This window comes from Homo sapiens, chromosome 9, assembly GCF_000001405.40.
Source record: "Homo sapiens chromosome 9, GRCh38.p14 Primary Assembly".
In the NCBI taxonomy this organism is placed as follows: Eukaryota; Metazoa; Chordata; class Mammalia; order Primates; family Hominidae; genus Homo; species Homo sapiens.
In genome coordinates, this window is record NC_000009.12 from 96,299,383 (window position 1) to 96,317,609 (window position 18,227).

General features: G+C 43.9%; 2 protein-coding genes and 1 long non-coding RNA gene across 3 annotated transcripts in view; all 3 read right to left on the reverse strand.

The window, feature by feature from the left end:
- HSD17B3 (hydroxysteroid 17-beta dehydrogenase 3) overlaps positions 1-2,794 on the reverse strand; it is a 66,871-nt gene extending 64,077 nt beyond the window's left edge. The window contains exon 1 of the mRNA NM_000197.2: positions 2,569-2,794. Coding sequence (NP_000188.1) covers positions 2,569-2,722 — 154 coding nt within the window. The 5' untranslated portion in view covers positions 2,723-2,794. The remainder of the gene's footprint in view (positions 1-2,568) is intronic.
- The window catches only part of SLC35D2-HSD17B3 (SLC35D2-HSD17B3 readthrough), a 148,406-nt gene that overhangs the window by 64,077 nt on the left and 66,102 nt on the right, over positions 1-18,227 (reverse strand). Inside the window, exons 13-16 of the long non-coding RNA NR_182427.1 lie at positions 14,584-15,517; positions 9,572-9,744; positions 5,892-6,009; positions 2,569-2,929 (exon numbers count right to left, since the gene is read on the reverse strand). This is a non-coding gene — a long non-coding RNA (SLC35D2-HSD17B3 readthrough). The remainder of the gene's footprint in view (positions 1-2,568; positions 2,930-5,891; positions 6,010-9,571; positions 9,745-14,583; positions 15,518-18,227) is intronic.
- The window catches only part of SLC35D2 (solute carrier family 35 member D2), a 70,268-nt gene continuing 66,102 nt past the window's right edge, over positions 14,062-18,227 (reverse strand). The window contains exon 13 of the transcript NR_104627.2: positions 14,062-15,517. The gene's annotated coding sequence lies outside the window, so the exon portion shown is untranslated. The remainder of the gene's footprint in view (positions 15,518-18,227) is intronic.

An 18,227-nucleotide genomic window follows, 5' to 3' on the forward strand; every position in this document is an offset into this window, starting at 1 on the left:
TGCACACCGTCTGCAGCTCTGGGTGGAGGAACTATGCTCAGGGCATCTTGGGCCTTACCTTCCCCTCCCTGTGGGGAATCTTCAATTCACCCAATACAGGGCCTACACTACAGGCAAGATGATACCATCAATAATAACGACGGATAACGGTCACACACTCACTTCTTGCCATGTACTGCTTCTAGTGTTTTAGATGCATCATCTCATTTAATGTTCAAAACAAACCTAAAATGCAGGGACCATCATTATCCTTAGTTTATAAATGAGGAAGCCAAGGGGAAAAAGTTCGTAACTTGATTAAGGTCACACTGCTAAAAATGATGACACAAGGATTTGAACCCAGGCTGTCTGACTTTGGGGCCCTGAGTCTATGAATATACACTAAGAAAAGAATTAGGAAATCCAGCACAGAGCTCAGGGTACTCTATCTGAGGAATTAAAAATTTAGCCTCTAGTTCTTGCGTTTCTTTTTTGTCCCCTACTTGAAATATATTATCTCCCTGATATCTGCCTCTGCCCAAACATATTTTACTCCTGCTAGAGGTAACTCTATCCATCTTGACTCATAAAAACAGGTTAAGATCATGTTTTTCCTTTGAGTCACCAAATGCTCTTAGTCTCTGTCCCCATTTGAACTTCTTTTAGAATGTAGGTTTTTAGAAGGGCTTTCCCTACACAAACGACAGCAGCTGTGCAGAGTGCTACGTCCACCCACACGTGGGCATCTGAATCTGTGTGGAGTGGGGTATTTAAATCCAGAACACTCAGGTCAAGCTGCTGAGCAAGTTCAAGCAAGTTCACTCCTGACAGCATAATACCCCAAGAGGACACACACACACACACACACACACACACACACACACACACACACGCACACAGCAAATATAAGACGCAGAAGTCAAAAATCCATTTGTCATCCCAAACAATTTCTCACACGGTAATTTTTTTAATTTCCATTGCTAAGTTTTTAAGGTTGCCAGGTTTAGCAAATAAGGATACAGAATGCCCACTTAAATTTGAAATTAAGGTAAATTATGAATTGTTTAATGCATGTCTCATGCCATATGTGAGTTATACTAAAAAAGTATTCCTTTTTTTCTGAAATTTAAATTTAACTGGGTATCCTGTATTTTATCTGGCAGCCCTATAAGCATATTAGAATCTTTCCTATTTTGCCTAGATAATATCTCTAAAGTCACTTAATCATTTTTGTCATTGGATTCTTTGTGTGTGTGTGTGTGTGTGTGTGTGTGTGTCCAAATTTGAAATATAAGGCCCTGCAAAGACTTTAGCATTTCAGATATTCAAGGAGATGCTGAAACCATGGCCTCATGCTCTTCACCTTAACTTCAGTCATAGGGCTGAAGTTCTGCATGGGCGTTCCAGTAGATAAATCCCATGGGGAGGCAGCATTAATTGACACCAGCCAGACCCAGATTCCATTCCATACCATCCTGAAAACATGGCTCCATAGAGTTATGCGTTGCCTTGATTTTGTAACACCTTCATTTCTTAAAAACACTTGGATCCTTTTTTTAATACAATGAGTTAAAATTATTTAGATTTCAAAATTTGGAAACACCTTTTAGTAAAGTGAAAGCACCCTGGGCTTTTTGTAAATTTAGAGATGAGGATGCAGAAATTTCTGCATTATTTATTATTTGTATTAGCAGGAAACTCCCAAAAGAAGAAAACTCATCTAATGGGGTTGAGAGGATAAGTGCTTAGCAAGGGCTGGGTAGCCTTCTGCCCTAGTGTTCCCCTAATGCCCTACAGCTTGTGTTGCAGACCATTCTAATTTCACTCACACTTTTCTAATCCCCCCAATTAAAATTACCCAAAGGAATTACTTCTTTGCTCTCAAAGAGAAAAAAATGCAATATCCCTTTTGAGACATAAATAATAATAAGCAGGGGCTGGGTGCGGTGGCTCACGCCTGTCATCCCAGCCGTTGGGGAGGCCGAGTCGGGTGAATCACAAGGTCAAGAGTTTGAGACCAGCCTAGCCAACAGGGTGAAACCCTGTCTCTACTAAAAATACAAAACGTTGGCTGGGTGCGGTGGCTCACGCCTGTAATCTCAGCACTTTGAGAGGCTAAAGTGGGCAAATCATGAGGTCAGGAGTTCGAGACCAGCCTGGCCAACATGGGGGAACCCTGTCTCTACTAAAATACAAAAAATTAGCCAGCCGTAGTAGTGTGTGCCTGTAATCCCAGCTACTTGGGAGGCCGAGGCAGGAGAATTGCTTGAACCCAGGAGGCAGAGGTTGCAGTGAGCAGAGATCGCACTACTGCACTCCAGCCCGGGCAACAGAGTGAGACTCTGTCTCAAAAAAAAAAAAAAAACACCATTAGCCAGGTGTGGTGACAGGCGCCTATAATCCCAGCTACTTGGGAGGCTGAGGCAGGAGAATTGCTTAAACCCGGGAAGCGGAGGTTGCAGTGAGCCAAGATCGCGCCATTGCACTCCAGCCTGGGTGACAGAGCAAGTGTCTGTCTCAAAAATAATAATAATAGTAACAAGCAGGAACAACAGCAGCAAAAAAACATGAGATGGAACACTCCCTTACCTGCCCACTGTCCCATTGACCGCAAGAAAGACTTTGGCAAAACTTTCCAGTAGTTCAGTAAAACACATCTGGAGAATCTCACGCACTTCGCCAGGCAGGCCAGGCACACCAGCAGCCCTGTGAGGATGAAGAACTGTTCCAGGACGTCCCCCATGGCTGCACTCAACAGACTGTTTCAGCCCTGGCCGTGGCTCTCTGTGTATGCCTCCTGGGACCACGCTGCTCTGGAGACCTCCAGATCTTCTTCCAGGAGTCACTGGACGTGTTCCATCAAGTCAGGGGCATCTAGATTAAAGTAACTTCTTTACATAATCCTCTGACTCACAGGCCTTTGAATAAGGCTTTTGTTACTGTGGAGGAGCTGGTGAAAAAGTAAAAGGTGGACATGAAGGGAAAAAAACAAAGCCTGGACAAATATAAAATGGCAGCCCACAGTTCTCTCCCTGAATTTGGGAAAGTTAAAAAGGATGCAGAATCCAAGGCAATTATTCATACATTTAGCACTATGTATTGACTGCCTACCAGGTGGAGTCCCCTCTTGAAGGCATTAGGAAGTTAATAGTGACCACAGAGGGTCTCTCTGGTTTGGAGCTTAGATTCTGGTAGCAGGGACAGATGATGAGCAGATAAATAAGATAACATCAGATGGGGCAGTGGCTCACGCCCATAATCCCAACATTTTGGGAAGCCAAGGCAGGCGGGTCACATGAAGTCAAGAGTTCAAGACCAGCCTGGCCAACATGGTGAAACCTCATCTCTACTTAAAATACAAAAATTAGCCAGGCCTGGTGGTGGGCACCTGTAATCCCAGCTACTTGGGAGGCTGAGGCAGGAGAATCACTTGAACTTGGGAGGCGGAGGTTGCAGTGAGCCAAGATCACGCCATTGCACTCCAGCCTGGGTGACAGAGTGAGATTCTGTCTCAAAAAAAAAAAAAAGATAACATCAGTGCTATGAAAAAGCACTATTGAATGATGTGTTTGAGTAGCTACTCAGGGAATGCTTCAGAGAGGGTGTTCAGGAAGGAATTCCATGAAGAGGTGGCATTTTTAGTTGAAATTTGAATGAAAAGGAGCCAGCTCCGCAAAGATGAGTTTCCCCCTCCAGGCTAATGGAACGGCTAGTACAATGCCTGAAGTGAGAAAAATCCACGTATTTGAGGAATAAGAACTAGGACAGGACAGGCATGGTGGCTCACGCCTGTAATCCCAGCACTTTGGGAGGCCGAGGCAGGCGGATCACAAGGTCAGGAGATTGAGACCTACTAAAAATACAATAATTAGCTGGGTGTGGTGGAGCATGCCTGTAATCTTAACTACTTCGGAGGCTGAGGCAGGAGAATCGCTTGAACCTGGGAGGTGGAAGTTGCAGTGAGCTGAGATTGTGCCACTGCACTCCAGTCTGGGCGACAGAGCAAGACTCCATCTCAAAAAAAAAAAAAACACTAGGACAACACAGCAGAGGGACTGGCCACAGAGAGTAAGGGAGGAAAAGGCCAGAGCAGGAGGGAGGAGCCATGCCCTACGGGTGAGTGTGGACTTTCAGAGCAACCAGAAGCCATTGCACAGATTTAGGAAACAGAGTTCTATACTCTGAATTATGCTTTTAAAAGGCCACTGGATGCTGAGGGAAGATGTCCTTCTGGGGGTGGGATGGAGGGTGGGTGTGACAACTGAAGCAAGGGCAGCCAGGATACTGAAGTCATCCCTGCAGAGGCCACAGGATCAGTCCTTGGCCTTCTCTCATTTCTGCCTGTGCTCACTCTCAGCTCACTCTGTGCTGCAATCAACAGCCTTGCGCTCACCCTAGAAGCAGAATTGCTGGCCAGAACATAGATTCATACGTCTTTATGCTAGATATTGTCAGATTTGCCTTCATTTTGCATTCACGCCAACAACACGTGAGCATGTTCGTTTTCCCACTGCCTTAGCAGTAAAGCATGTTGTCAAGCTTTGGGACTTTTGCCACCCAGTAGGTAAGAAGTAGCATCCAATGTTGTTTTAAGTTTAAATTATCTTATCAGCCAGGTTGGAGAGATTTTCTTAAGCCTAAGAGCTATTTTCACTGTTTTCTTTGTGAATTTTCTCTCTCCTGCCCGTTTTTCTATGTGGTTTTTGGTCTTTCCCTTCTCTGTATTTAGAGATGGTTTCAGGACTCTGATTAGTCAGAAATTCGACCTGCTCACTCTGTCCTTCATGGTCATTGATTATCTCTTCAGGTGTGTCTGATCATTGTTAAGTCAGCCCATTGTGGTTTTTATTTTAATGACCTTAACTTCATTTCTAAAAGTTCCTTTTCTTTTTTGCAAAACTGAGGCTTTTCTTCTTATGGTTCTCTGCTCCATGCAGATATTTTTAATTTTGACTTTCTTTACCTCAGCATAATTGTCTTATGATCTGGCTTTAACAATTCCAGTACCTACATCAGCCTTTCTGTTGCTGTCTCCTCTCTCTGGTAGGTCTCACTCATGGTGCCCTGTTTCCTTGTGTGCTTGATAATTTTCACCTGTGCACATCCCATTTTGCTTGGAAATTTCTCTGTGAGGTTTTCTGATGAAGCTGTATTCCTCCATAGAGGAGGTGGTTTTGCTTCTACCAGATACCTAGAGGAACTTCCAATTTGGAAAATTAAATTCATGGCTAAATTCATAGTTTTCTAAACCATGCAGGTGAAGTGAATTTGGTCTGCCATGACACCCCACCCTGGCCTGTGTTGATAAACCCATAGGACGGTTCTCTGGCCATCTCCACCCACCACCACCTCCTCTGCTCAGTGCCAAGGTGCATTTCCTTGTAGTCCGGGAGCATGTTTCTTCTGGACCACGGTTACCCTGAGGATGTAGAAACCTTTTGGGACCCCGGCCTTATGGAATGTTCATCTATTAGACTCTTCCTGACCTTCATTTCTGTCCCATACCATCACCACTGAAGCTCCCCATCACCCCGTCCAGCAAATGCAGGGCTTATGTGGCTTCAGTGCTCAATTTACCTCTCTGTATTGCTGCTTTCTCTTATACTGAAATTTTTGACTATCTTAATAGGTTTAATGCTTTTAATAAGCTCTTTGAGAATATCTCTTCTGCCCACAAAAACATGGATAAATCATATTTTGTCAAGCAAAAGAAGTCACAGAAAAGTACTGCATTAGTTATCTATTCTGTATAACAAATTAACCCAAAACTTAGTTGCCTAAACAATGCCATGTATTATCTCATGATTTCTGTGGGTCAGGAATCCAGGCATGGATCAACTGGATCCTCTAGCTCAAGGTCTTTCACAGGTGGCAATAAAGTCCAGCCAGGTGGCCGTCATCTCCAGGCTCACCTGGGGAAACAGCAGCCCAGTCACTTGTTTGTTGCAGGATCCGGTTGCTCCTCCTTTGTTCCTTGCTGTGTGGGCCTCCTCACAGGGCAGCTCCCAAGAGCAGCTTGCTTCATCAGATCTAGCCAGTGAGAAGAATCAGACAGAGAGAGAAGGCAGAAGCCACACTCTTGTAATCTGATCTCGGAAGGGCCATTCCATCACTTTAGCTGCATTCTGTGCATTAGAAGCAAGTTCCTAGATCCACTCCATATTCAAAGGGAAAAGATCACACAAGGGAGTGAACATAGCGGGTGGGGATCATTGAGATCCATTATAGAAACTGCCTTCTACATGTACATACCATAGGATGTTATTTATAGGAAGTTAAAGAACAGGCAAACATAATCTTCAGTAAAATAAAATCAGAACACTTGTTGCCTGGTAGAGGTGAAGGGATTGGCTAGAAGGGTCATAGGGAACTTTTCTGGTTGATTAAGATGTTCTATATTTTGATAAGCAATGTGTTCGGAAGGGCATGCCTTAATCAAAACTCACTGGACTGTACACTTTTAAGCTCTGTGCAATTTATTGCATGTAAATTATCTGGAAACTTCAAACAAATTTTATCCTGCAGTTATTCTTTGGATGGTGGATAATTTAGACTTCCGTTACCAGAACTGTAAGCCGCAATTCATTTGTGTGCTTGGTCACAGACCAAGATTTCCCCACTTTTACTTTTCAGCATCAAAAACTATATCCAACCCCATGTAATAGATTGAGAAATTACATACCAATATCTGACTGTGAATTCAGCAAAGCTTTTAAATAAATGTGTATTTTTCTATTTGCAAGATGCTATGACTTGTATCACCTACCCCCTGGCCCCAGCCAAAATTCATGTATTGAAGGCCTAACCCCCAGTGTGATGATATTTGGAGATAGAGCCTTTTGGGGGTGATGAGATCATGAGGGTGGGGCCTTCATGGTAAGATTAATGCCCTTAAATGAAGAGACACAAGGCTGGGTGCGATGGCTCACACCTGTAATCCCAGCACTTTGGGAGGCCAGGGTGGGTGGATCACCTGAGGTCAGGAGTTCTAGAGGAGCCTGGCCAACATGGTGAAACCCCATCTCTACTAAAAATACAAAAATAAGCCAGGCATGGTGGCACCCGCTTGTAATCCCAGCTACTCGGGAGGCTGAGGCATGAGAATTGCTTGAACCCAGGAGGCCGAGGTTGCAGTGAGCCAAGATCGCACCACTGCACTCCCAGCATGGGCGACAGAACGAGACTCCATCTCAAAAAAAAAAAAAAAAAAAAAAGAAGAAGAAGAAGAGACACAAGAGATCTCCCTCTCTCTCTCCACCACATGAGGGCACAGCAAGCAAACAAGCAGACCACTGTCTATAAGCCGGCAAGAGAGCCCTCACCAGGAACCAAGTGGGCCACCACCTTGATCTTGGACTTCTCAGCCTCCACAACTGTAAGAACAAAATTCTGCCATTTAAACCACTCAGTCTGTGGTATTTTTCTATAGCAGCCCGACCTGACACAGAGTACATGGGAGCGTTTAAAAATTAAATTCTTCAACGTGGAGACATGTTATTTCCCCAGCATATGTTTGCTGTTGTTTTCTGCTCCACTTGAGAAATGTGACTGAATGACTGATATTATTATAGCAATAACATTAATGCCGATGTAAAACTTCTAAATACATGATTTTCAAAACTCAATAAATAGTAACCAGAAAAAAAAATTCTTACCATACATCTAGCAACTCTGCATAGTTGCTAAGCAGAGAAAAACAGTTTGAGAACTGGATCTCCAAAACAGGGATCATAAACTCAGATGCTCACAGTGGTGGAAGGCAGGTGATGTAAGTCCATGAAACAGGGCAGGGACTTTGTGCTGTACTTTTTTTTTTTTTTTCTTTTCAAGACAGAGTCTTGCTCTGTTGCCCAGGCTGGAGTGCAGTGGTGTGATCTCGGCTCACTGCAACTTCTGCCTCCCGGGTTCAAGCAATTCTCCTGCCTCAGCCTCCTGAGTAGCTGCGATTACAGGTGCCCGTCATCGCGCCTGGCTAATTTTTGTATTTTTAGTAGAGACAGGGTTTCACCATGTTGGCCAGGCTGATCTCAAACTCCTGACCTCATGATCCGCCACCTCGGCCTCCCAAAGTGCTGAGATTACAGGCGTGAGCCACCGTGCCTGGCCTTGTGCTACACTTTTCCCTACAGACACAGAGCAGGTATAATGTTCACTTCCACAGACAAATGCACTCTCTTTCATTGTCTTTGAAATCTTGTCTCTCTTGATTTAGCTTTTATTTTCTTGTTTTCCTCTCAGCTCTACTTTAGGAAATGACACTACAAACACCCTGAAGGATAGAGACTGACCCTAAGCCTCCACTCGTGGGACATAGAGAACAGGGAACATGGAGAACATGAAACAGAAACTGTCCACTCCACCCAGCTCCAGCTGTCCTGTGGAACTGTGGCCTAGTAGGCAAATTGTGATTTTTTTTAAGTGATAAAAAAAATCCAGTTTCTAATAAGACATGTCTCCATTTTTATAAAAAATGTTATGAAAATAACAACTGGAATATAAAGCAACAAACTCCGAAACCATGTTAACACCGCATAGACAAAATAAAACACATCTGCAGCCCTCCAAGGGCCCGTGGATGAAAGGTCTGAGGCTTCAGATTAAGGAGGTGAATTAACTTAGTTAAGTGCAGTGTGCATGTACTTGGTGGGGCAGTGGGGCTGGGATTGAAGTGGGTGAGGAGACAGTGAACAGAATGCAATAACCAAGTTCACTGAGTACCCTCTCCACAACACTACAGTAAAGCTAGGAGGAGCAGAGGCAAGAACAAATATGGAAAAGCTGGTAGCACTGAGAAAACACATAAAGTCAGTAAACCAAGCTTGATATGGGTCCAAACAAGGCCTTAGATGCAGGACATAAGGGAGCAACTCAAAGGTCAAAGAACATCTTGAAGTAACAGACATGAGCAGAAAATTGGCCGGGCACAGTGGCTCATGCCTGTAATCCCAGTACTTTGGGAGGCTGAGGCAGGCGAATCACGAGGTCAGCAGTTCAAGACCAGCCTGGCCAAAATGGTGAAACCCCGTCTCTAATAAAAATACAAAAGATTAGCCGGGCATAGTGGCGGGCGCCTGTACTACTTGGGAGGCTGAGGCAGGAGAATCGCTTGAACACAGGAGGCAGAGGTTGCAGTGAGCTGAGATCGCACCACTGCACTCCAGCCAGGTGACAGAGTGAGACCCCATCTCAAAAAAAAAAAAAAGACATGGGCAGAAAATTAAATGAAGAAATACAACTAGTATGCAAATGTGTGGAATGTTTAACCTCATACATTATTAGAAATGTCAACTGAATGAGTAAAATACTACATACACATAAGCTAGTAAATAGAGCATCAGGCTCGCATGCAGTGCTCATGAGGTTGCAATGGAACTGAGACTCTCCTCCGTGCCTCCGTGGTGTAGATTAAACAGCAGAGGCTTTCTGAAATACACTCTGTACACAGCTTCCCAGGGGAAGGGGAATCTTTTGGGGGTCATGGAAATGTTTTAAAACTGTATTGGGGTGATGGTTGCACAGCTCTATAAATTAACCCCCAAATCATTAAACTGTACACTTAAAATTGCTGGTCTTTAAGATATTTAAATAATACCTCGATCAAGCTGTTTTTTTAAAACTGGCAGAGCTAGGACGTGGCCCCAGGCCGTCTGATTCCAGAGGCTGTCATCACACAACTTCTGCCCACCTCCACCATCACAACAGGAGAATAAGGCACCTTTAGAAAGTCCAGCCATCCCGATGTCAGCAGCTTCCTTGGTTGGTTTCCTTGATAAAATGCACAAGGACTGGATGATCTTATTCAACTCTCAAGGTGACCCCATCCACCCTGCTCTTCAAGCCAGTACCCCAAGTTTGAGATGAAAATGCAAGAACAAGTCAGTCTAGAAGAATTGTTCTGAACTAAGGTTCCCAAATCACTAGAGAGTTCCTGAAAACAAGAATGGCCATCCTCAAGTCATTTTCAGTATCCCCCAAAAGTCAAATTTTCAGAAGACTTTTCTATCACAAAGCTGTAAGGATTAAGACAGTCATCAACTCTCCGTACTTTTGGCTAGAATTAACTCCAGTCAGCTGGTTAGTAACATCAGCTATCTCATGTCAACCAGAAATTCTAATTGGGAATCACACAGTTTTGACAAATACAAAATACAGATTGTGCACAAGTACAATTTTATGTTTTGAAGGTTTTTTCAAAGTGTTGGCCTGAGGGAGCACTAACCAGGGGGTGCTGGGGTTGAAAGAGTGGGAAACCCCCTGGAGGAGAGCGCTAAGGGATTGGTTCCTACTTTTGGATCTCACAGAACGGGTACTCAGTAAATGGTAGTTGTCATTAACAGTATTGCTATTGCAGATGTGATCACATTTAACAAAACCTGGAGGAGCAAGCATTTCTATAATTGTGAGTGGCTAGCAATGGCAGAAAGGGTGTGCAGTCTCAGCCCATCAATAAAAAGGGTCCTTCTACCAGCTGATCAAGGACACCCTGGGAGTCTAGAAGATGGGATAAATACTCGCTTCTTGCTCCCATCCAACTACCTTTCAAGGCCTGCTTGGCCTCCGTTCAGCTCATCATTGCTAGCTGTCCCTATCCTATGAAGTTCCCGTTCGTAAACATCCTACACAGAAACCCAACTCTATCTTGCTAATATGCAGGCTCTCTCATGCCAGGGGTGAACATGTGGAGGCACAAAGAAGAAGAGAGCAGGGAACCACACCCTGTCAAATAAACTCTCATGAATATTCCAAGTTTAGTTTACTTAAGAAGAGAGAATTTCGCCTTCATTTACGTTTTACGTTAAGAGAAATTCATTGAAGAAAAACAACATCCTGAAGCTTGCCCTTTGATTATATGGTCTATTCATTCATTCAACAAGGATCTTTCTGTATGCACCGTGTACCAGGCCTTGTTCTACTCAATTTAGAGTTTTTAGAGCCAGCTTTATGGGCATAAACTCCACTTCAGGAATCACGTCTTTCTGTCCCAGAATCAGTGAAAAGCCAAATAGCAACAAGCTTTTCTGTAGCAGGTGCTTACTAATGTTTCTTTCTATTCTTTTTCAGGGTAATTTATTCTTATCTATACTGAAAATGTTTATTAAACTAAGGCTCACCACACAAAGTAAGCTACATAGTTTACTCAAGAAAGATAACCAGGGGAAAAGAAAGAGGTTTTGGAGCTGCCAGAGCTGTGTTATCCAAATCACTAACCACTGGCCATATGTGGTTATTTAAATTTTAATTTGATTTCATTTAATTTAAAATTCAGCTCTTCAGTTGCACTAGCCATTCCAGGTGGTCAATAACCACATGTATTGAACAGCACAGATTTAAACACATCCCTCAGTGCAGAAAGTTTTACTGAACAGTGCCGATCAGACCTTTGTGAGCCATTTTGCTTCCAAATGCATACAGTTACCAGAGCTTATAAACCTCATCACTAAAACTAAAATATATAAGAGGAATATTTATGTTTAGAACATGGTTTCTAGAACTTTATTGATATCACTGAGTTAATAACAGGGTTTTCTCAGATCCTGGGGTGGAGGGAGGAGATGAATATGACTGTGTTCCTTATGTAACTCTGTCTACTCTTCCTTATGAGGGCATGCCAGACACAGCAGTATTCCTAAGTGTAGTATTCTGTTCTCATGCTGCTAATAAAGACATACCCTAGACTGGGTGATTTATAAAGGAAAGAAGTTTAATTGACTCAGAGTTCCACATGGCTGGGGAGGCCTCACAATCGTGGCAGAAGGCGAAGGAGGAGCAAAGTCACATCTTACATGGCAGCAGGCAAGAGAGTGTGTGCAGGGGGATCTCTGCTTTATAAAACCATCACATCTTGTGAGACTTACTCATTATCATGAGAACAGCAAGAGAAAGACCCACCCCCATGATTCAATTACTTCCCACCAGGTCCCTCCCGTGGCATGTGGGAATTATGGGAGCTATAATTCAAGATGAGATTTGGGTGGGGACACAGCCAAACCATATCACTAAATATGCATAATGAAGTCAGACTTAATGTCATGCCTATAAAACACTCTATTCTTTTTCATGGACTTTCTTTTCAGTACTTTGAATGTTATTCCACTGCCTTCTGGACTCCACTGCTTCTGATGAGAAGTCAGCTGTTAGGCCGGGCACTGTGGCTTACGCCTGTAATCCTAGCACTTTGGGAGGACGAAGCAGGTGGATCATGAGGTCAGGAGATCGAGACCATCCTGGCTAACACAGTGAAACCCTGTCTCTACTAAAAATACAAAAAATTAGCCAGGCATGGTGGTGGGTGCCTGTAGTCCCAGCTACTCAGGAGGCTGAGGCAGGAGAATGGCGTGAACCTGGGAGGCGGAGGTTGCAGTGAGCCAAGATTGCACCACTGCACTCCAGCCTGGGTGACAGAGTGAGACTCATCTCAAAAAAAAAAAAGAAGTCCGCTGTTAATCTTATTAGGGTTCCTTTGTAAGTGATGAGTAGTTTCTCTCTTGCTGTTCCTAAGATTTTCTCTGTGTATTTGGCTTTTAGTATTTTTACATCAATGTCTTGATGTGGATCTCTTTGCATTTGTCTGTGGAGTTTGTTGAGTTTCTTGGATGTGTGAATTCATGTTTCTCAACAGATTTAGGAAGTTTTTACCCATTATTCAATTTTTTTAACTCTTTTCTCATTTTCTTCTCCTTCTGCCCCACCAATTATGCAAATGTTGATTTGCTTTCTTTTCATTTTTCTTCATTCTATTTTCTCTGATCTTTAAATTGAATAATCTCTATTGATCTCTCTTCAAATTTACAGATTCTTTCTTCTGTAGGTTCAAATTTACTCTTAAGCCCCCAAATAAATGCTTGATTTTGGTTTTGTACTTTTCAACTCCAGAATATCTATTTGGTTCTTTTTTAATACTTTCACTTTTTGATTTCCCTGTTTGATGAAACATTGTCTTCATACCTTCCTTCACTTATTTAATCATGTGTACTTTGGTTCTTTGAACTTATTTATAATGAAGTCTTTATCTGTTAAATACACCTGGTCCCTCTTATAAGCTGTTTCTGTTGTCTGCTTTTATGGGTCACACTTTCATGTTTCTCTGAATGTCTTATACTTTTTTGTTGAACCTGGACATTTTAGGTAATATATTGCAGGAACTCTGGATACTGATTCCCCTCCCTTCTCCCTGGAGCTTGGTTTTGTTGTTCTGTTTATTTTGTGACTTGGCTACACACTAGAATATTTTAGTAAAGTCCATTTTCCCCTTTGGTGTCACTCCTTGGAGGCTGAGGCTTGATTGCACACTGTCTCCCTGCAGTGACACTGGGTTTAAGGGGGTTCTCTTTGCCTCTTTCCCTGATTTATATTTTAAGCTGTCTGCTTGACTTGGTTATTACCCGGGTCCATCAGGCCCCAATTACCAGTTTATTGCTCTATTGTTTTTGATAGTGCCCTGGGGCATAAATTGCCTAGCAGTCTGATCCAATTAAATTCTGGCAGGGGTAGTTATTGAGGCCAGTTTTTGAGGTCTGTTCTGACTCCACGAGAGCTCTTCTTTGCTGTCTCTTTCCCTGGTTCCCCCTGGTGAACCAGTTGGACTATGATTTAGCTTGTTGTTCTTAATTAAGAGAGGCATCATCTTCAAGAGTCTCTTAGACATGCATTTTCCCCACATTCTGCTTCAAATAAAGTCAGTTCCTTTAAGGAGTGCCCTGGAGCTCTTTTTTCTCGTGGACTTTGTGTTAATTTGGACAACTACAATGTTTAAGGGCACACAGCCCCCATGGGACCACCCTCATTTCTGATACTAGCTGCAAGTTTGAGGAGTTCTCAAAAACAGCCTCAGTTTTGATCATTTGGTAGGACTCATAGACCTCACAGAAAGCTGTTATACTTGTGGTTACCGCTTATTATGAGGAAAGAATACAGATTAAAATGAGCCAAGAAAAGCATTGGATTGGACAGTGTGTGGGCAAGTGCCAAATGTAGAGCTTCCATTGTCTTCTCTCACAGAATCAAGACACATCATTACCTTTCCAGCAACAATGTGTGACAATATGCACGGAGTATTGCCAACCCGGGAAACTCAATCAAGCCTCAGTGTTCAGAGTTTTTATTAGGGCTTCATTACATAAACTTCACTGATTGCCCACATGGCTGATCTCTGTCTCCAGACTCCCCAGGTATCACCCAAAGCCTTCACCCTAAACCACCCTGTTGGTCTTTCTGGTGTAGCCAGCCCCCATCTGAAATCACATTGTTAGACTATCTAATGTAACCCAAGGTCCCCAGGCAAACAAAGACACTCCTCTTTGGCATGATATTCCAAGAAGCTTAGGGCAAAGACCAGACATCTTTTTGGGCAAGATTAAATTCTTTACTGCACAGGCTGCGTCCTCCCTGGGCAGCCTCTCTGAGCCACTCGTCTGGGTGCTGGACAGGGTGGTAGCCTCTGGTCTTGTCAGATCATCTCTCCCCAGTGTGGAACAGCCTTCCAAGTGAGCTGGGGCAAGGGTAATGGGGACCCCAGTATTTGTGGCCTGCTGTACTTGAGGTAGAGCCTGCATCTAATGGGTAGGGGCTTGGTAGAGAGGGCCCTAGCCCCTCAGCTGCACTCACCAGGAATTGAGCATCTCTGGCTGGGCATGGTGGTTCACACCTGTAATCACAGCACTTTGGGAGGCCAAGGCAGGAGGATCACTTGAGGCCAGCCTAGGCAACATAGAAAGATCCCATCTCTACTAAAATACAACAATTAGCCAGGTGTAATGGTGTGTCCCTGTGGTCTCAGCTACTTAGGAGGCTGAGGAGGGCAGATCACTTGAGCCTGGGAGGCAGTGGTTGCAGTGAGCTGAGATAATGCCACTGTACTCCTGCCTGGGCAACAGAGCCAGACCCTGTCTTCAAAAAAAAAGATTTTTAAAAATAAAGATACAAGCATGTGTATGTTCACTGCAGCACTATTCACAACAGCAAAAACATGGAATCAACCCAAATGCCCATCTATGATAGACTGGATAAAGAAAACATGGTACATACACACCACGGAATACTATGCAGCCATCAAAAGGAACGAGATCATGTCCATTGCAGGGACATGGATGGAGCTAGAAGCCATTATCCTCAGCAAACTAACACAGGAACAGAAAACCAAACACTGCATGTTTTCACTTATAAGTGGGAGCTGAACAATGAGAATACATGGACACAGGGAGGGGAACAACACACACTGGGGCCTGTTAGGGGGGTGCGGGAGAGGGAGCATCAGGATAAATAGCTAATGCATGTGGGGCTTAATACCTAGGTGATAGGTTGATAGGTGCAGCAAACCACCAGGGCACACATTTACCTATGTAACAAACCTGCACATCCTGCACATGTATCCCAGAACTTAAAATTACAAATTAAATTTTTAAAAAATAGCATCTTCAACTTAGATGGGATGAGAATTCAGGTGGTCTTCTCCCAGTTGGATCCAATTCCCCAGGAACCGAGAAGAGAATGACCCCTTTTTGGCTATGCCCACCTGAGGCAGAACTTCCACCAAGTCGAGCTGGGAGAAGGAAAAGAGAGGAGTGGGGTCAATTCTCAAATGCCACGGCTGCCTATCGTTCTTACCAAGTGTTAGTAGGTTTACCTGAATCAATGTTTCCTCATTTGCCCTTATAATGTCTGGAGACTGTAATTACTTCTCTTTTTATAGTTTTTGCCAGCTTTGCTTGTTTCACAGAAGAATGAGTCCACAGGACTCCTCACGCTGCCATCTGACCTTTTCATAGACTTTTTCTTTAAAGACAAGGTCTTCCTTTGTCACCCAGGCTGAAGTGCAGTGGTGCAATCATGGCTCACTGCAGCCTCAACCTCCCAAGGTCAAGCTATCCTCCCACCTCAGCCTCCTAAGTAGGTGGGACTACAGGCATGCGCCACCATGCCTGGCTAATGTTTGTACTTTATGGTAGAGATGGTGGTCTCACTGTGTTGCCCAGGCTGTTCTCAAACTCCTGGGTTCAAGCAATCCATCCGCCTGCTTTGGCCTTCCAAAATGCTAGGATTACAGATATGAGCTACTGTGCCCGGCCTTCACAGACTTTTTTTTTTTTTTTTTGAGACGGAGTCTCGCTCTGTTGCCCAGGCTGGAGTGCAGTGGCGCGATCTCAGCTCACTGCAAGCTCTGCCTTGCAGGTTCACACCATTCTCCTGCCTCAGCCTCCCGAGTAGCTGGGACTACAGGTGCCTGCCACCACGCCCAGCTAATTTTTTGTATTTTTAGTAGTGACGGGGTTTCACCATGTTAGCCGGGATGGTCTCCATCTCCTGACCTTGTGATCCACCCGCCTCGGCCTCCCAAAGTGCTGGGATTACAGGTGTGAGCCACCGCACCTGGCTAGATCCTTATTTTTCTTTTATGCCATGGACCACAATGGCAGTCTAGTCACAGCCTCCTTCTTTGAATAATATTTTTAAATGCACAAAATTAAATACATAGAATTATAACGGAAACCAATTACCAAAAACCAGATACACACTATTTTTAATGTGATGTACTGAAAATATGCCTCTTTATGAACATATTAAATAACAAGAACCAATGGAGGGTCTAACAACTAGTAAATGACAAGTAGGGTATAAATGGTTTTTCTGTGAAACCCATAATGCAATATGCAAATATCTTTAATTCTATTGGTAACAAAGTTACAGGTACAGCTAATACTACTGTGGTTTCTCCTACATTCAAATGGAAAGAAATGCTAAATGTTGGTTAGAGGTTAGGGAAAATCCGGATGTATTCTTTCCCTAGCTGTGTGCACCAGCTCACTAAATCTTGTCCATGAACTCCAGGTTAAGAATCCCTACTACTTAAAGGATGGCCCAGGCTGGGCATGGTGGCTCACAACTGTAATCTCAGCACTTTGGGAGGCTGAGGCAGGTGGATCATTTGAGGTCAGGAGTTCAAGACCAGCCTGGCCAACATGGTGAAACCCCATCTCTACTAAAAATACAAAAATTAGCCAGGCATGGTGGCATGTGCCTGTAATCCCAGCTACTCAGGAGGCTGAGGCAGGAGAATCCCTTGAACCCGGGAGGCAGAGATCATGCCACTGCACTCCAGCCTGGGCAAGACAGCAAGACTCCATCTCAAAAAAACAAAAAAAAAAGGGGGGGAAGATGGTCTGGACCAACAGCCTGGGGTGGCTGGTGCTTTTCAAATCCCCTGGGATAAATGCAGGTTCTGATTCAGTGAATGTTCCCTGACAGTCTGCATTTCTAAGAGCCCCCAAGTTACCAATGCCACTTCTGGTGAAGGGACCACAGATTGCAGACAAAAGCCTCAGGGCTTATCCTGGTGACGACTTTGGCCTGGAGGTGCCTTTTTTGTGTGTGTGCCTGAGGGCACAAAAAATATATATTTCACTCTTCTCTAAACTAGGTCCTATTATTTAATCAACCTCAGCTGTGAAAAAGCTCCAATGCTTGAGATATACTTTATATATATATAAAGTATTAAAACAGGCCAGGTGTGGTGGCTCACGCCTGTAATCCCAGCACTTTGGGAGGCCAAGGCAGGTGGATCATGAGGTCAGGAGATCGAGACCATCCTGGCTAACATGGTGAAACCCCGTCTCTACTAAAAATACAAAAAACTAGCCGGGTGTAGTGGCGGGCGCCTGTAGTCCCAGCTACTGGGGAGGCTGAGGCAGGAGAATGGTGTGAAACTGGAAGGCGGAGCTTGTAGTGAGCCGAGATCGCGCCACTGCATTCCAGCCTGGGAGACAGAGCAAGACTCCCTCTCAAAAAAAAAAAAAAGTATTAAAACAGCAAGAAATAGTCCAAGTTAACAAATGGTGTAACTGTTATTTGTAGTACCATGGCAAGAGGTGTGCAAAATATCAAGGTAAGTAAACTAATGTTTGTGTCCCATCCACTAGTGGTTTTTACAATGTTTTTACCAGGAAAAATTATATCTGGAGACCTGGGTCACTGGACCTACATTTTTTCTTCAGCCTCGATGGGGTTTGCAGAGCCTTTCCATACCACTTCTCCACCTCCAGCACCCCCAACTAACCTTAGTTCAAAAGCCTGATTGGAGCTTCCTTCAACCTCCCTCCTCCCTTAAACCCAAGTTCTTTAGCTGTACAGCAAACATTTCAACTTTCAACCCAGCTCCTAGGGCTGCTGGGCTGCTCTTAGGGTGCCCTCTGCTGGCCACACGTGGAAGCAAGTGTAAAAGTCTTAAAACACATCTTTAAGAATTCCAAGAATAA